The following is a 19,048-nucleotide window of genomic DNA, read 5'->3' on the forward strand; positions in this document are numbered from 1 at the left end:
GGCAGATGGAGAAGGATGTTGGTAGAATATACTAGGCATAGAAGATGTTTTCAGTCAATGCTTAGAAGTAGGATTGACTGGGTAATTTGGTAACATTATGTGGCCAAGTATGAAAAGAGCATGAAAGTTCTTACTCCAACTAAATACAATATTTAGTATATATTTAGTATATTTATTTAGTATATACAATAATACCACATTATTATTATATGATATAATAATACAATTAATTACTTTAGTAGGGAGATATCATGCTGAAAAATAAAGATTACACAGAGCCTGGTATTTCCCTCAACCAGTGCCAATACACACACACACACAAACACACACACAAACTAACTTTAATTGTATTTAGTTGAGTAGGAACCCACTACATAATTTAAATAAAAAATTAAGATTACATTAAAAAATGAGCAAAGGAGCTAAAAAGACATTTCTCCAAAGAAGACATACAAATGGTCAACAGCTATATAGAAAGGTGTTCAAAATCACTAATCATCAGGGAAATGCAAATCAGAGTCACAGTGAAATGTCACCTCGCACCCATCAGAATGGCTATTATCAAAACACAAACACACACACACACACACACACACACACCCAAACCCAAACAAGATAAATGCTCCTGAGGATGTGAAGAAGTTGGAGCCCTTGTACGCTGTTAGGAATAAAAACGGTGCAGCTGCTATGGAAAACAGTGTGGAGGTTTTTCAAAGAATTAAAAATAGAAATACCATATGAGCGAGCAATCCCACGTCTAAGTATCCAGAAGAATTGAAATCAGGACCTCAGATAGGTATCTGAACTCCCATGTTCATTGCAGCATTATTGACAAGAGTGAAGCTACGGAAACAACCTAAATGTCCATCAACTTATCAATAGAGAAAGAAAATATGGTATAAGCCAGCGAGTGGCTCATGCCTGTAAACTCAGCACTTTGGGAGGCCAAGGCGGGAGGACTGCTTGAGCTCAGTTTGAGAGTGAAGCTACGGAAACAACCTAAATGTCCATCAACTTATCAATAGAGAAAGAAAATATGGTATAAGCCAGTGAGTGGCTCATGCCTGTAAACTCAGCACTTTGGGAGGCCAAGGCAGAAGGACTGCTTGAGCTCAGTTTGAGACCCGCCTGGGTAACACAGTGAGACCCTGTCTTCACTAAAAATAAAATAAAAAAAAAATTAGCGGAGTGTGGTGTCATGTGCCTGTAGTCCCAGCTACTTGGGAGGCTGAGGCAGGAAGATTGCCTAAGCCCGAGAGATTGCAGTTGCAGTGAGCTATGATCATGCCACTGCACTCCATCCTGGGCAACACAGTAAGACCCTGTCTCCAAAAAATGTGGTATATATACACAATGAAATATTATTCAGCCTTAAATAAAGAAGGAAATACTGCCATTTGCTACAGGATTGGCTGTTCATTGATGAAATTTGAGGAAATTATGCCAAATGAAATAAACCAATCACAGAAGGATAAATATCACATAATATCACTTATATGAAATGTACAAAATAGTCAAACACAAAGAAACAGGGAGTAGAATAGTGGCTGCCAAGGCTGGGGAGAGGGGAAAATGGGAAGTTGTTATTCAGTGGGAGTAATTTTTGATTATGCAAGATGATGATTCAGTTCTAGAGATCTGCTGTACAACACTGTGCCTATAGTTAACAGTAAATACTGTACTCCACACTTCAATTTATTAAAAAGGTAAATCTCCTGTTAAGGGTTTTTTAACCACAATAAAGATAAATAAACTATTTGCCCATAAAAAAAGTAAGATTATTAGAAGGATTAATTTGGCATATTAGATAAGAAAGAAAAGGGAGAACAGGGAGAGCCTATCACAATAGTCAAAGTCAATAACAATGAGAACAAAAGCTAGTGTCATAGTGTGAGAATGAAATGGAAAAAGAGAACAGATATTTTATAAACTTAGAGTTGGTAGAATTTAGGCATCAGTTTGGGAAAAGGAAAGGGAATGAGTTATGGAGGAAGAGAGCAAAGGATGGACCAAGCTGACTTTAAGCTTTCAATTAAGCTCCTGGAGGATAGACGCTCAAGAGTCATCTATTGGCTGGGCGCCGATGGCTCACACCTGTAATCTCAGCACTTTGGGAAGCCGAGGCAGGCAGATCACAAGGTCAGGAGATTAAGACCAGCCTGGCCAACATTGTGAAACCCTGTCTCTACTAAAAATACAAAAATTAGCCAGGCATGGTGGCATGTGCCTGTAATCCCAGTTGTTTGGGAAGCTGAGGCGGGAGAATCGCTTGAACTCGGGAGGCAGAGGTTACAGTGAGCCGAGATTGTACCACTGCACTCCAGCCTGGGCGACAGTGTGAGGCTGTCTCAAAAAAAAAAAAAAAAAAAAAAAAAAGAATCATCTATTTACAGAACCTCTGAGCATTTGTTTGTCCCCACAATTACCACTTGAAAACAATAATGCTTATAATTTGATTTTTGACTTAGTTACTCAGTATGGAGACAGTAGTCTTGAAAAGGATAAGGAAGTAGTCCAAACTTTCTCAGAGCTGCTACTCTGTTGGGTTTGAGATAGTTCAATGAATAATCATATTTAAAAGGTATTTTTCAAAATAGCAGTAAAATTACAAACATACAATTTGTTAGGTTGCTGCAAAAAGAATTGTAGTTTTGCCATTACTTTTGCACCAATCTAATAAAATGTGGTTCCTTCCTCTTTCTAATTTACATTTTCCCAGTGTGTAGGGAATCCAGAATGATTCTTACATCATTTAATTACCCCAATTATTATTATTATTATTATTTGAGACGGAGTCTTGCTCTGTCGCCTAGGCTGGAGTGCAGTGGTGCAATCTCGGCTCACTGCAATCTCTGCCTCCTGGGTTCAAAGGATTCTCCTGTCTCAGTTTCCAGAGTAGCTGGGATTACAGGCATGTACTACCACGCCCGACTAATTTTTGCATTTTTTTTGGAGAGACGCGGTTTCGCCATGTTGGCCAGGCTGGTCTCAAACTCCTGACCTCAGGTGATCTGCCCACCTCGGCCTTCCAAAGTGCTGGTATTAGAGGCATGAACCACCACGCCTGGCCCTTTCCCAATTATTTACCTCTCAAATAGGACAAAATATAATTTTCTGGAACAAAATGAAAATGCCATACAAAAATAAAATTACAAAAGCTTATTTATTCAGAATCCTGACAGAATGGAATTTCTAGTTAGGCAAAACCACTAAGACTTTTTTCTGATACCTTCCATTCTCCAAAAGCTGTGTATGAAGTTTAAACTCTGTCATTGAGAGATATAACTCAAAACACAGTAAAATCTTAATTTAAAAATTACATTCATGGAAAAAGGTTATAAGGAAACATGAAAATCTAAATAGTGATTATTCAGTTGTTTACATTAAAATGTTTTCTCTATTTTTAAATTTTATTTCTAGTAACTACAAACTACTGTAATAATCAATAAAAATATTAAAATACAAAGATTATATTTTTCTAATTCTACTTCACTTTTTTTCTCATTCTTTAGTTAATTAATAGATTCATGAATAAATTTGATAGATTTATATATCTGAACAATTTGGAAACATGCCATGAGTTATCAGTAGATACTGAGTTGTGTCTAGTTCCCTTCCTGTCCAGCTTCAGGAGCAACTTTTGTAGCATTTTGTTTCCATAGTAAGCAAAAGACTTCTACATACTGTCCTTCATATTTTTACAGAAATATAAACTTGCAGGTGCCAACCCTATGATTAATTTTATATCCCAATACACTTAGTCATTGCAAGGACAGAAAAGTATTGTCTGCTCCCCTCCTCCTTCAGATACACCAATATTCTAGGAATATATTGTATTATCTGAATTTTAAGTACATAAAACATGTTTCATGTCAGCTATGGTATACATCTATACTCTATGCAAGTGTGTGTATTCAGACATTCTATTTAGGTATGTGAGATTCTGCTGCACTTTCCCAGAAGATAAAACTACTTTACCCTGTCATCTGCCATTGAAAGGGGGTGTCTTCAACCGCATCATTTGCATTTTCAGATCCCTGCATTTGTAGGTTTGTTTGACTTTTCTCAACACTCATCACTGTCTGTTGAGCCTTTTGCAATGCCTGTCCTTCATTTTGTCTCCTTGTCCTTTCAGGATCTTTTGACCTTTATCCTTCTTGGTCAAAATTTTTCATTATGAAGTACAGTCACGCCATGCGTCCCTTAATGACAGGGATACGTTCTGAGAAATGCCTTGTTAGAAATTCCATCATTGTGTGAACATCACAGAGTGAACATACACAAGCCTGATGGTGTAGCCTACTCCACACCTAGTCTGTATGGTAGAGCCTGTTGGTCCCAAGCTACAAACCTGTACAACATGTTACTGTACTGAATACTGTGGACAGTTGTAACACAACGATAAGTATTTGAGCAACTAAACATAGAAAAGGTACAGTAATGATATGTCTAAAAAGCAGTACACCTGTATAGTGCACTTACCATGAATGGAGCTTACAGAACTGGAAGTTGTTCTGGATGAGTCAGTGAGTGATGGGTGAGTAAACGTGAAGGCCTAGGACCTTACTATACACTACTTTAGACTTTATAAATACTGTACACTTGGATACACTCAATTTATAAAAAATATTTTTCTTCTTTCAGTAATAAGTTCACCTTAGCTTACTTTAACTTTTATTTTATAAACTTTTTAATGTTTTTAAACTTTTCGACTCTTTTGTCGTAACAGCTTAAAACAGAAATAAATTGTTCGGCTGTTTAAAAGATTTACTTTCTTTCTATTCTTATTTTATAAGCTTTTTCTATTTAAAAAATTTTTGGCTGGGCGTGGTGACTCATGCCTGTAATCCCAGCACTTTGGGAGGCCAAGGCAGGCGGATCGCCTAAGGTCAGGAGTTCAAGCCAGCCTGGCCAACATGACGAAACCCCGTCTCTACTACAAATACAAGAAATTAGCTGGGCGTGGTGGCGGGCGCCTGTAATCCCAGCTACTTGGGAGGCTGAGACAGGGAGAATCACTTGAACCCAGGAGGTGGAGGTTGCAGTGAGCCAAGACTGTGCCACTGCACTCCAGCCTGGGCGACAGAGTGAGACTCCATCTCAAAAAAATTATATATATATATATGTTTTATTTTACTTTTTAAACATTTAAAATTAAGAACAAAGACAAAAACATACACATTAGCTTATGCCTACACATATATACAGTCTGTCCTTGATCAAAACACACATACACACACACACACACAATATACACACAAGCAAACACGTATGTGCATATTTAATTTTTTTAACAGAAGCTCAGCAAATACAAATGCTCACCTCCTTTATTTTGCTTTGTGTTTTTGCTGTCCTTTCACAGATTTGTTAGGTTCCTTTTCCCTAAAGCCCTATACCTATCCCCATGCACAGTGAACACACTCTATTGCAATTTATTGTTTTATTATCTGTATTCTCTACTTCAGTGGTTTCCAAACTTTACCATGCATCAGACTCGCATGGAGGGTCAGTTAAAACCTAGATGGCTAGGTCCCACTCCCAGCGTTTCTGATTCCATAGGTCTGGATTGGGGCCTCATAATTTGCATGTTTAAAAACTTCCGAGGTGATTTTGATGCTACTAGTCCAGGGACTCTACTTAGAGAACCATGGATTTAGGGCTTCCCCCGCAAAGGGTCATTTGCAAATGAATTGCAATTTTCCATACCAATGAGAAATTTGAGGTCATTCCAAGATGAAGGCTGTTGAAAGCTACTGTATTTTCTATTTCCATCAGTAAGTGTGTCAAGTTTGAGGACCAATGTCCTATATTTTAGATGGCTTCAGGAGCTGAAGGAAAATAAATTTGTACCAGTTGCTAGCCCCCAGGCTTCTTTTCTGGTGTGTCTAAATTATAAGAGATACACTCAAGTAGACCTCCTGTTCCATATATATTTTTGCTGTATTTATACGCACACACATATATCTATTTATATACACACATATATAAATTTATATACATATATAAATTTATACACACATATTTTATATACACACACACTACACACACACACATATATCTTCTGGGCATCAATTTGTTCACCTCAGATTAGGCTAAAAATCAGTGGTTCTCAGCTTTCGGTTGCTCATTAAATTATCTGGCATGCTTCTAATAATGTACCCATGCTGAAGCGCCACTTCCAAGCAATCTGGATGGAATCCTGGCAGCATTAAAAACATAAAATTTTCCCAGGTGAGTGTAACATGAAGCCTAGGTTGGGAACCACTTGGTGAGACAATGTCTCAGGGCTTTTCTAGCTCTAACTGGTGGAGTTTTGAGACTGTGGAATGCTGATTGGAACAAAGAGTCCTCTGATGTGTGGAGCATTTTGACAGTCTATATGGCTTCTATTTCATTCTGGTTATGATTATTTTTTCCTTATTCCTTTTTTTCCTCCATTGTGACCCTCTTACTGTGTGGCAAAACATTTTAATTTGGTTACACCCCCAGAGAGTCATGATCTAATTTAGGTAAAAGAGTTTCTAAAATAAAGACATCAGAATTGTTAAAGTGGGCCTCAGAGGGTCCAAATAAGAACAAGCTGGTAAAAATCAGGCAGAACATGGAGAGGTTTTGATTAGCACTTGTTGGGTAACCTTCAGGGAAAGAAGGAAGTTCTCAGTTTAATGTCGATACTAAAATCCGTCGCCAAACACAGACACTTCTGAATTATGGCATCTTCAGTTCTGCATAAACCTGAAAGTGAATGAAGGAGAACTAACACGCTCCTGGAGTCCTTGTATCTGACAGAAGTGGGAAGGAAGATACTGTGCTGTGTTTAGGGCTGTCAGAGTGCTAAGAGCAAAAGAAAACTCGTTGAGGTTGCTGCAGGGGCATTTTAATTTCCGAACCAAATTAGATACTAGTATTTAAATTTGCCTATTTAAATCCCAACTGCAGAAGATTTGAAATAAATATACAACTACTCTGCAATGGTTATAGGGAAGATGAGAACCTAACTGTGGTAATTAGAAATGCAGAAAATCTTCAAGCTATATATAAATTCTCAGCTATATATCCTTATTTGGTAGCAACAAACACTGTACCCAGTATTCATGTTTATACACACAATGTTTATTTTCTGTTTGTATAAACATATAGGGAATCTAAATTTAATGCACACACAATAGTTTTAAAAATGAATTGTATGTGTGAGAAAAGAAAGAAAGTGTTGCTTTTTTTTTTTTAAGACAGAGGAGGAATTTCATATTGCTAAACAGATATAAATTCATTAAAGGAAGCACATAGTTCAGTATAACTGCAATTCTGGACACATATTGTTCTTAAATTAAGAAGTAGATAAACTCTATCTAATTCATAATCCTTCCTCTTCAATATTTTGCACTTCTATATGATTGGATATTCAACAAACTAGAAATTACCAAGGAAAAGATAAATATAGCACAATATAGCCTCATAACACGTAAATATTGATCCATGTCTGAATGAGCATCATACTTCTATCTATTTTTGCTTGAAATTTTCTGAGATTAGAAAATTCCTGGTTGATATTCAAATCTACTTTAATTTTTTTTTAAGCAAGGAAATGTCTGTTTTTCTTTGTTTCTATCTAAAGGCACAACTTGTTAAATAATTGGCCTTCAGAATACATGCTATTTCTAAAAATTGAAGTGACTGTTTAGCTAAATTAGAAAGTAATTTATCAATCCAATTGGTTTCAGTCATGTAAGATAATTTGCCAGTCAAGATAATCAGTATTATTGATAATACTATCATTTCATCCCTGGAAAGATTAGCTCCCAAACTGAAAACAATCAGAAAAAAAAAACTGCTAAGAACAAGGCATATCTTTAAAATATATAAAGAAAAGATAACATGCCATTTCTACAATTTTTTAAAATTATTTTTTATAAGGTGTGTGTGTGCGTCAGTGTCTTAATTCATTTTTATCCATTCAAAATACAAATTACTGAGCTAAAATGCTGTATAAAATAATACTAAACATTTATAATATACAATGTGGTGTTATAAACATTTTACTTCTCTTTGTTGGAGAAATGCTTACTCTGTAAAGCACAGTACCATAGGGTATATCTGAATATTTACTGACAACTGCAGCGATTAAAATTATTCATATCAAGGAAACAAATTAGTTTGAAAACACTGAATTATGTTAGTAATGTATTCATTTGCAAAGCACATATCATTTTTCTCATTTTATGATCCTATAAATAGAGAGCCATTTTACCTTTTTCAAGTCTGACCACTCCAAGTAGAGAGAAAAGTTGGAAGCAAGACCTCCTGACTGTATGTTGAGTAGTCCCAAGTAACTCAGCTTTGGCAGGTTATCAGCAAAGTTTACACCTATATTTCCTACCAACTCAGATTTTATTAAAATCAACAGGAGAATGGTTGGTCTTTGTTCTGACAAGACTTAGCAAAACAAAGGCAAAAACATAAGAGAATAAATCTGAACTTTCTTAAGAGTCTGTTACCTCTTAGAAATGAATGCTTCATTAGGTTGGTTAGTGTAATCTTTCTCACCTGAATATTGAAGACTGAACAGCTTATCTTTTACTTGTAGAACAGACTTTGACAACAGAATGTCAGTCTCATTTTTGTACAGAAAAAATAATAGGGAGAAGTAACAGAATAAGTAACAAAAGCTGAAAAAAAATCTATTACTGAGTGACTGTACATCTAGGACCAACAGGTAGAAAATATGAGTCTGACTGATTAAATATTGGATATTAAATATTAAATGTGACAAAGAACTTTCTCACAATTAGAGACTCTGAAAAGAATGAGGCTGCCCCAGGAAATACTATGTTCAAGGATGTGATAGATGATAACGTGTGCTACTGTTCCAAAGGTTTGCAGAGAGCCAATGGGCAAGTGACCTAGACAATGGGTGACTCTATAAACTCAGGCTTCCCAATGACTAAATTGTCTGAAAGATTAAGGTAAAGGGAAGTGTAATTTTTTTTTCTCTAAATAAATGTTGAGAGCAAAGCTACTCACTAAAATATAATTTTACTCAAAAATCTTATTTATAATGCAAATTTTTCTTAGTTATTAAATTTCAGGTTCATCTGAAGATACACATACGAAACTGGGAAAACAGAAAATCTAAATGTTTTATGATACCACTCCCCTAGATTCACGTTCAGCTGCCTTGCTTGGTTGTATCCGCATTTGAGTGATGTACTGCAGAGGTAAATTATACTTCCTGCAGTCTGTGGCTTCCATAAACCCTTAGTTACCAACCTCGACAGGGCTTTCACCAATGCTTATCTATCTTACTATGTTTAGCATTGCTGGACTTAGCAAAAACATACAGGATGTCCAGCCTAGTTAAATTTGAATTTCATATAAACAATGAGTAATTCTTTAGCATGAGGACATCCCAGTGAAAAATTCTTTGTTGTTTATTTGAAACTTCACTGGACGTTTGATCTTGCAACCAACTCCCTTACTCTGAACAGATGACCTTAGAAGGCCATCAAATGGAAACTTTTAAAATCTGTAGACCTGCACATATCCACATTTATCATTTTTCTCTTTTACTTGTATTGCAAAAAAAAGTCATACCTATTTTCCCTTCCATGGCCAATCTTTCCACTTTAGGTCCTATACCTTCCTACCTTCTCTGTGGGAATTGAATAAAGAACTGAGCCTCTCAATTTTCCAAATCTTCAAAGGCTCTCTGTTTGACTCAAGGGTCCCTTAAATTAAAAACAAAAACTAAAAAGGCCTCTGAATTTACCTCTCTCTCCACTTTTTATACTCTCCCTTTTCTTTACAGACTCCTCACTTTCTGTCTGCCTTTTCGGCTGTTTTGTTCCTTCCCTGCATTGGCTTCTTTCCCCCTCCCAGGGAATATTGAACATTGCTAGTCACAGGGTTCTTCAAGACCACATCTCAGTTTACAGAATTCCCATGGGGGATCTTGACAATCACCACCTAGCTACTCAAGACTTCCTCGTCTTCATCTAAATCAAGATCTCTCTGAACTCTAGACCTTGCCTGTATCTCCCTCCCAAATATCTCTCTTTGGATATTTGTCTTGCACCTCAAACTACCATGTCCCAAACTGAACTCATCCTCCCTTTTTAAATCTCTCTCTCAAACAATGTTTTGCTCTTGGTAGGGTAGTAAATGGTGTGGTTACCTACCCAGTGTTCTAAATCAGAAACCTGAAAGCCGATTATATATATGTAGTTCGTGACCAATTCTTGCTTGATTTAGTTTCAAACATTTTTAAAAATTCATCCACCTCTTTTTATTCTCACAGCCACTCTACCCTCTTCCTTGGGACACAGCCATGGCTTTCTAATTGATTTACTTTGTCTTTGGTCTTGTCTCCACCAATCTATTTTCCAACAGCAGCCTAAGTGATTTTCCAAAACACAAGTCTGACAGTGTCATCCTTTTGCTTAAAACGCCTGCAGAAACTTTCTTTTTGTTGTTAGAACAAAGTCCAAATTCCTAACTATGGTTGATAAGGAAGTCCATGATTGGATTCCCCCACCTCTGCTCCCTGGCTCTCTACTAGGCTACATTGAAATCCTTGTATACCATATCTCACTCATCTCTGGTCTGGGTGTTCAGACATGCCATATCATTTTCCTGGAACAGGTTACCCCTTCTCTTTGCTTGGCTTACTCTTACTTCTCATTTGGATTTCTCCCTAGTTATTACTTCCTCAGGGAAATGCTCTACTAGATGCAAGTTGTTCCTTTAGCTTCATTCACAGATTTTTTTTATGCCTGTTTAATTACTTGTCTTAGCAACTGAAATATAAGTTCATAAAAGATGACACCATTACTGTCTATTTCCAGCTTCTAAGACATTGTCTTGGCACAGAACAAATTCAAAAATAAATAGTTATTTTCTATATAAATGTATAAATAAATGAATACACAGATATGATGACAGAGCTAGAAGGGTTCGCTTTAGGCACAATTTCTTAATTAAAAAATGAGCTAATATCCAGAATCTACAAAGAACTTAAGCAAATTTACAAGAAAAAACAATCCCATCAAAAAGTGGGCAAAGGATATAAACAGACACTTCTCAAAAGAAGACATTTATGCAGCCAACAAACATATGAAAAAAAGCTCATAATCACTGGTCATTAGAGAAATGCAAATCAAAACCACAATGAGATACCATCTCACACCAGTTAGAATGGCGATCATTAACAATTCAGGAAACAACAGATGCTGGAGAGGATGTGGAGAAATAGGAACGCTTTTACACTGTTGGTGGGAGTGTAAATTAGTTTAACCATTGTGGAAGACAGTGTGGAGATTCCTCAAGGATTTAGAACCAGAAATACCATCTGACCCAGCAATCCCATTACTGGGTATATACCCAAAGGATTATAAATCATTCTACTATCAAGACACATGCACATGTATGTTTATTGCAGCACTGTTCACAATAGCAAAGACTTGGAACCAACCCAAATGTCCATCAATGAGAGACTGGATAAGGAAAATGTGGCACATATACACCATGAAATATTATGCAGCCATAAAAAAGGATGAGTTCACGTCCTTAGCAGGGACATGGATGAAGCTGGAAACCATCATTCTCAGCAAACTAACACAGGAACAGAAAACCAAATGCCACATGTTCTCACTCATAAGTGGGAGTTGAACAATTAGAACACATGGACACAGGGAGGGGAACATCACACACTGGGGCCTGTTGCGGGTTGGGGGGCTAGGGGAGGGATGGCATTAGGAGAAATACCTAATGTAGATGATAGGTTGATGGGTGCAGCAAACCACCATGGCACGTTTATACCTATGTAACAAACCTGCACGTTCTGCACATGCATCCCAGAACTTGAAGTATAATTTAAAAAAATGAGAATATGCATAACATATATGAAACCTATAGCATAATGGTACAAAGTATATCCTCAAACTCACCATCCAACCTAAGCTGGAGCTAGAGCATTACCAGGAGTTATCACTTGTCTTTGGGCTCTTCCTCTTTTAAAGAAACCATTAGTGGAATTCAATGTTCTTTACTTGTTTTACCCTGTAACACCGAATTCCCATTATTGTCTCCATGTTTTCTGCAAGTCTACTCTCTTAGCATGCACTGATTCGGAAGCTGTCCCAAAAGGTCTGTTTGAGCACTGCCTGAATTGTTCTGAGTATTGTGGAGGGCACAAAACAGATGTAAGGCAGGACTCCTATGTTCAAGGAACTTATTCTGTAGGGAAAAGAGAGCTAACACACATGAAAGTAGAGAATATATGATACTGACTAGAAGAATTATGAGATTTCCAAGAGAGAAAAGATAACTGTGGACCAGACTAGCTTAGAAAACCTTTTATCCTCCTTTATAAAGGAGGATAAAAATGAAGTGCATATTGAAGCATGCCTAAATATGAGCATTTGGAGACGAGGAGTGAGACATTTAAGAGGGGAAGAACTACATTTGGTGGTGGTGTAGTTGAGCATTACTGTATTGTTTCATTTATTTTTCTTGCTCAGAATTCTTGTTTCACTTCTTCTGGTACTACTGCAGTTCTTTTTGCTGTTGAAATTTCCTTTTCCCAATTCATAAGATTTGGAGGGGTTGCCGATGGCTACATTTTAAATCCAGTCTTCCCATTCAAGGACTTAGTCCAACCACAATACCCTATGATCCTGGTGACAGTGATTGACTCAAAGATGGGTATGTGACCTAGGGCAGGCTAATTATATGCCTTCCCTGGGATTTCATGTATAAGTGCTTGAAAAGAACATTTCTCTTTTCTGTTAGGCTGCTGCTGCTAAAATGTAAGCCCGAAGCTACCTCTGGCCAGACTATCTCTTCCCTCTTCTATATATAGGAAGTTTGTCTGCAGTTGGAGGAAATGACTCCTCACAGAGAAGGAGAGAGAGAGTGAGAGAACCACATTGTTTCTGGAGTTCCTGAAGCCATCTGTATACTTTGTTTTACTGTTCGTGTGGTTAACATACCCCTTTCTTGTTTAAGCTCATTTGAATTGATTTCTGTTGATTTTATCCCATTAGAAAAGTACTTAACAAAACAGGTAGTGGGCTAAAAAGTGGATGTGGTGGAGATGGAAAGTGTAGAGAAGGACTAGAATGGAACACTGGGATTGAGAAAAAAAGCACAGATCAGAAACTAGTATCTGGAGAAAGAAATGTCAGTACTTTGTTGGAGACTGGACACATCCAATATGGAAGGAATAAGATCAAAAATGGAAAATCCAGGAAATTAGTGGACTCACTGATAGAAATGGAAGTAGTTGAAATGAGGAAGTGGATTTGAAGGGAAGCAATAACCAAACCATGACATTTGAGTTCCTGGTAGAGGTGGGACTTTGCCAGTCTATGGTTTTGGTGACACAACCCATGCTATATTGGTCTAACAATGTGAAGTACAGGAATGTAACCTAGTCATGCTTTGTGTCAGCATTCAAGGGAATATGATAAAAAACTATAGACATTTGGCTTTTCAAATACATTCTTTAGATTCTTTTCTCTCCTTTCTCTTCCTATCTAAAGCATGGGAACGATTTGTAGCATAGAATAGTGTTTCTCAAAATGTGATTCCTGCATCAGAAGCTTCAGAATCACCTGGGAACATTTTAAAAATACAAGTTAATGAGCCTAACCCCAGAGCAAGGGCATCAGAAACTCTAAGGGTGGGTCCAGGAATCTGCATTTTAACAAGCCCTCCAGTTGTCACTGATGCTCACTAAAGTTTTAGAACTGCTGGTGTAGAGTATTCTTTCCATGTTGGCTCTACAGCAGGTGAGGCAGTCCAACATACAGTGCTATGATTTTGCATCCTAAGAATTATTCCCTTAGAAAAGTACATTTTCACTAAAGCTATCATTCAAAAACTATGTGTTGAGAATGTTCTATCTGCCAGGCATTGTTCCAGGTACTTTGGATTTTGCAGTGAACAAATTTGACACAGTTAATCATAATAATGCCTATATTTTAGCAATTAAAAGTTATGCTATGGAAGTGACTGCCAGGGGACCTGAGTGTTGGTTAGGAGGTTAGGAAGCTGTTCCTAAAGAAATGGCATTTAAACTGAGAAAGAATAGGAAGTCGTCTGGAGAAGATCCAAGGAGGTAAGGTAAAGCCATTCTAGGTCTTGAAAGGGGTAGGTCTGAACACTTTCAGGGAATTGGAAACAGACCAGCATGAAAAGGTCATAGTTAATGATGGGTGGTGGAGCTAGAGAGGCAGATCTGATAGAGCGATCAACAGGGACTTGTAAATATTAAAGATTTTGCACCTTCCAGTGAGGGCGATTTACAGGCCATGAAAAAGTTTCAATCATGGGCTAACATGATCTGATTCATGTTTGTTTGCCTTTTAATTAAATGCAATTCCTTTTTCAAAAAAGCAAATACTTTTCCACTGCACTGTGGAAATAACTGTGGGTATAATAGTATGATGAGTTAAATTCCCTCTAAGGTATAATAGGCTGGTAGAGATACTTTCTCTGAAAAAGGCTGTGATGAAGGAGGCAAACAGAATAGAGTGTGCATGTGGGGACCAGAAGCCAGGAACAGAAAAGGAAGAAGGCTTAGGAGCTTCTTTCTTTTTTGTGGTTGTGGCTGAGACTGCTCCTTCTATGCATGTCTGAGAGGGCAAGTTCACAGGCAATTGCTGCTTCTCTCAGGGGTCATTGTTTTGCCTACATAGAAGACCCTGGTTCTCAGGCTGTATCCATTTCTAGAGATCATATATATCTTTTCTCCTACACAAGATCTTTTGTAGTGATTTAATTCACTTTCCAGGCATCACTGCTACCTCCTTGAGAATAATTCCAAAATCTCTATGTCCTTCCTGACCTTGAATAGATTTTCAGTGTTTAATATCTTTAGTACCTTGTGCTAATACATTGTGTTAAAAAATGCACACATGCCGTTGTTTAGTGTCAGGCTATGTATAGTTCACTAATTATTGAAAAACTATACACGCCCAACTGTGACTGCTCTTCTGCAGTTCAATAATATGTCTCATATTGTCTGCTGGACAGCTGACCCTGGAATGTCATTGTAACCACAAATAGCTTGCCTGTAATTGAACTCACTATGTCTTTCCTAAATCAACTTGCCTCTGTCTTCTGCCTCTGTTCATTAACATCAACATTTACTGTTGTCCCAAGTTCCAAGATTTGGAGTCATTCTTGACTCCTCTGTCTTAGGCTCTCACCAAATCCAAACTCTGAGATTGTCCTCATTCACTTGGTGGAAGGCTAATTTGCCATTTGTTCTTCCCTTTCCTTATCCATTATTGTCCTAGTACTCTACTCAACCCACAGGATAGTTCCATCTCCTAAATCTAGGTTCCTTTATCAGAGACACTGGTGACTACACTGTGTATGTGACTTCATTAAGCCTATTTTATTTAGAAAAGGTCTTTCTGTGTGTGTGTGTGTGTATATATATATATACGTATATATATAATACACGTATATATTTATATACACACACATATATATATATTTTTTTGCCCTGGAACCTTTTTTATTCTTAAAGGAATATTATGTAGAACCCCACTATGTAAGAGACATAATCATGAAGGTATTCTGGCTGAAAATGGGCTGAGGGAAGCACAATCCCCTTGACCTGCCTCAACTTTAGAGGCAGCCTCTTTGGAACTCAAGAGATCCATTGAGGGAGTTTGAAAACATGGATTTACAGCATAAACAACTCTGAATATGTAAGTTTTCTTCAAAATGTCTTATTTTAAAGAGTTATTTTTTATCAATGTATGCAAACTTTCCAACCTAGTCATATAAGTTCATGTAAAATTCATAAATGCAAGTGCCAGTGTCCCATCCCTGTTGTGCTAATGGCATTTCCCCCGCCTTGAGTTCTAACGTAAATTCTATTTTTCTCAGCCCCAGTACCTCTTCTTCTTTAGGGGTTTTCTAGATCATCCCAGATCTCAGCAAATCTTTCTTCAAATCCTGCAGTATTCCTTTTCTTACATTCTTCCTGTACTATCTTATATGCTTTTTTTCGAGTATGTGTTCAATCTCTGCCACTTAGATCATAAGCCACTTAAGGGAAGAATCAGGTCTTTTGCTACTTTTTATCCTCAGCATCGAGTATAACATGCTGCCTGTAGCATTTGCTTAGTTGGTATATTTTGATGGTAATCTCTAGCAGGAAATAATACCTATTGGCTCATCTATCTCACTTTCATTAATAGAAGTCTAAATTAAATATCCTGTCTTTGAAAATGTTTCTCCAGAGTAGGGTTTTTAAGTAAGGAGAACCAGTCACTACGACTTTAATTGCAAGCATTATTTTTCTCTCCAATTACCATTTAGCCTACAACTAGCTTCTTTGACTGTCTTTCATTAGATTATGTTGGAAGCTAGATTTAGGGAATGACAACAGATGGTTGCAAGTGGGAAATTCTCCATTCAGACTAGAAAGAGTGGTTTAGTCCATCCCCTAACTTTTCAGCAAACATACATATAGATCATAATTAAAAGATTATAAGAAATTTACATTTATAGGTAAATTACACGGTGACAGTTTCTTTGTAAATCCCTTTTAAGTCCTTTAGCATGTTTCACATGGCCCTGTACAGTCGAGCCCTCTCCACTTCTCCATCCTTCTCTCTACCACCCATCCCCCTATTCACCACAACCTAGCTGCAATGGCAAGCTTTACGTTCCCTGAATTGCCAAGCTCCGTCCCTCCTCTTGTTTCCTGCTAGTGGCAGCCTCTGCCTAGATGGTCTTCCCTGCTTCTTTCCTGATCAATTCCTGTCATCCTTTGAGCCTTAGCCTGCTTGTCACTTACTTAGAGAGTTTTTGTCTCATCTCCCACAATAGGTGAAGCTTCCTTGCCATGTGCTTTCATAGTTCTTATCATAATTATAATTATATATCAGCTGTAAATTAATTTGTTTTGGGTCTCTGTTCCATATTAAATTATAAGCTGTAAGATGTTAGAAACTATACAAATCTTACTCACTATATTATTTTCAATGTCTAGAATAAAGCTTAATGCATAATAGATGCTTGAATACATATATGAATGAGGATTTTATGAATGACTATCCTATAAAACTTTCAGATAAACAAACCATTCTTATATTATTCACATGTAGAGTTTAATTCTTCTCACTGCTGCCCTCAATGGACATGAGCAGCCTTCTCTGGGTCACGTAATTCACACGAACATGCATACATATTTTATGAAGTAACTTCTGCTTTTATAAAAGCAAAGCAAAACATAACAAGTATTGCGCAGTGAAAATCTTCATTTGCTCTCATACAGAATCTAAACAGCTTAAATGATTAGGTATAATATGAAAATGTACAAATATATTTTTTTGTTTGAAATTGTCTCATTTATGCACACTAGCTTGGATATTCCTATAATTCTTTTTATGTAAGGTTATTTTGAAAATATATGCTGTTGAGTTAAAAAGAGCAAGAACGCTGCCACATAGCTAGAAAATATCCACATGTTGAAACCTTTCGGTATATGTTTATCAGTAAAGTTAATGTGGCCCCCTTCCCTACAGGCTCTTGCAACCCCACTGATACGTCCCTGACCTGTTTCTGTGTCCTTTGAGTCTTCAATTACCCTGCTGAGTCAAACAATTGGAGAACAAATTAAAGCCAACTGCAGAGAATGTTATTTTCTGATACAAAAATCTGACCTTAAAGAACTCAAGCCTTGAATATCTTTCTGTCAGGATGCCAGCAAATTTGCATTGAAAAGTCTAACATTTCACACAGTCTCACTCTTAATTCCCCCACTATTACTGTCATAACTAGAATGAGTGCAAGACTCAGCTGAGTCAGCCCCTTTACCAGGATAAATCATTATTCAGTTTAAAGGAAGGGGATATCTAATTGTACTTGGTAACAGCTTTCACACCCATGTTTACATCTGCATTATTCTTTTCATACCCACCTTTTCTCCTTTTATATCCAATCAGAAAAAGAACAATGTAAATAAATGTTAAGTTTTGAGGGTAGGTGTCAAACACGCACCTAACTCACTGCAAAAAGAACTATATATGGATGACATCAAGCCTTTCTCTACAGTGACTGACCTGCATACTTCTAAATTATCAGACCCATCGTCATAGGTGGCAGGAGGCTTCTGAACAGGGTTATTCACCTGGAGCCCTGCATCATTCATGTCCTTGCTGCCTTCTGGAACTCCCAGTATTTCAGTGCTGGAATCTGTTTCTGAAAATGTCTTCTTCATTATTTCATTTTTCCTAAGACTTTGCAAGAGCTGAGGATCTCTGTGGTGATATCTGCCTTTGCTCTTCTCATGATTCCTTGAGGATCTCTTAATTTCAGAGGACCCTTGAGTCAGAGAAGGGTTGCATTCTTGGTACCTTGTATGTTTTCCTCTGTGGAGATTTAAAGAGCAACTCTCACATTCAATCAGCTCTTGTTGCTCTTTACCTTTGGATCCCAGATCAACGAGCTCAATTCCGTTAGGAGTGGAAGACCCAGCTAAGTTTTCACACGGCTTATTATTATTTCTCCTCCTTCTTCTTGACAGTCTGAATTTAACCTGGGCTCTTCTTTTTGCCTGAATCCAATGACTCTCATCTGTGGAAGATGAATCTGAAGAATCTGTGTAAAGCTCCCTCCACCTGGGGCTTGAGATTTGAAGGTGAAAGTCATTTTTTCTCCCTCTTATTTGTTCTTCTGCAGCATGCTCATATCTCTCAGAGGCTTTTCTCCTCCTCCTAGGTCTTTGTATTACTGATTTCTTACCAGACTCCTTCCTAGCAGGGCTCAGCACCATGACAGGGGTGCAATACTCAAATGACTCTTCTGACATGTCATGCAAGATGGCAGATCTAGACAGAGCAGCAGGCAAAGGATGGGAAATGGGAATGGAGAGGAAAGCCATGGAAAAACAGAGAGAGAGAATGATGAAAATGACAGCATGGACCAGAAGTAGATAAATAAAGATCAACTGAAGAAAATGAACTAAATGAAAAAAAATAGCCAGTATAAATTTTCTATGGACCATGTAAAGCAGAAGCAAGAGACA

The 19,048-nt window shown here is 37.4% G+C and overlaps 1 protein-coding gene across 7 annotated transcripts in view, besides 1 other annotated feature; it reads right to left on the minus strand.

Annotated features, from left to right (window-relative positions):
* MARCHF1 (membrane associated ring-CH-type finger 1) overlaps positions 1–19,048 on the minus strand; it is an 859,722-nt gene that overhangs the window by 69,890 nt on the left and 770,784 nt on the right. For 2 of the 7 annotated variants that reach the window (XM_047415869.1, NM_001394959.1), the window contains one exon: positions 18,084–18,851. The exons of the other annotated variants lie outside the window; for them this stretch is intronic. In XM_047415869.1, coding sequence (XP_047271825.1) covers positions 18,084–18,851 — 768 coding nt within the window. The remainder of the gene's footprint in view (positions 1–18,083; positions 18,852–19,048) is intronic. 7 annotated transcript variants of the gene reach the window in all.
* Positions 17,601–17,650: an enhancer, noted in NCBI's record as "active region_22102". NCBI's record gives its function as "activates an Ori minimal core promoter by ATAC-STARR-seq in GM12878 lymphoblastoid cells {active_cell/tissue: GM12878}" and the evidence as "EXISTENCE:reporter gene assay evidence [ECO:0000049][PMID:35858748]".

This window comes from Homo sapiens, chromosome 4, assembly GCF_000001405.40.
Source record: "Homo sapiens chromosome 4, GRCh38.p14 Primary Assembly".
In the NCBI taxonomy this organism is placed as follows: domain Eukaryota; kingdom Metazoa; phylum Chordata; class Mammalia; order Primates; family Hominidae; genus Homo; species Homo sapiens.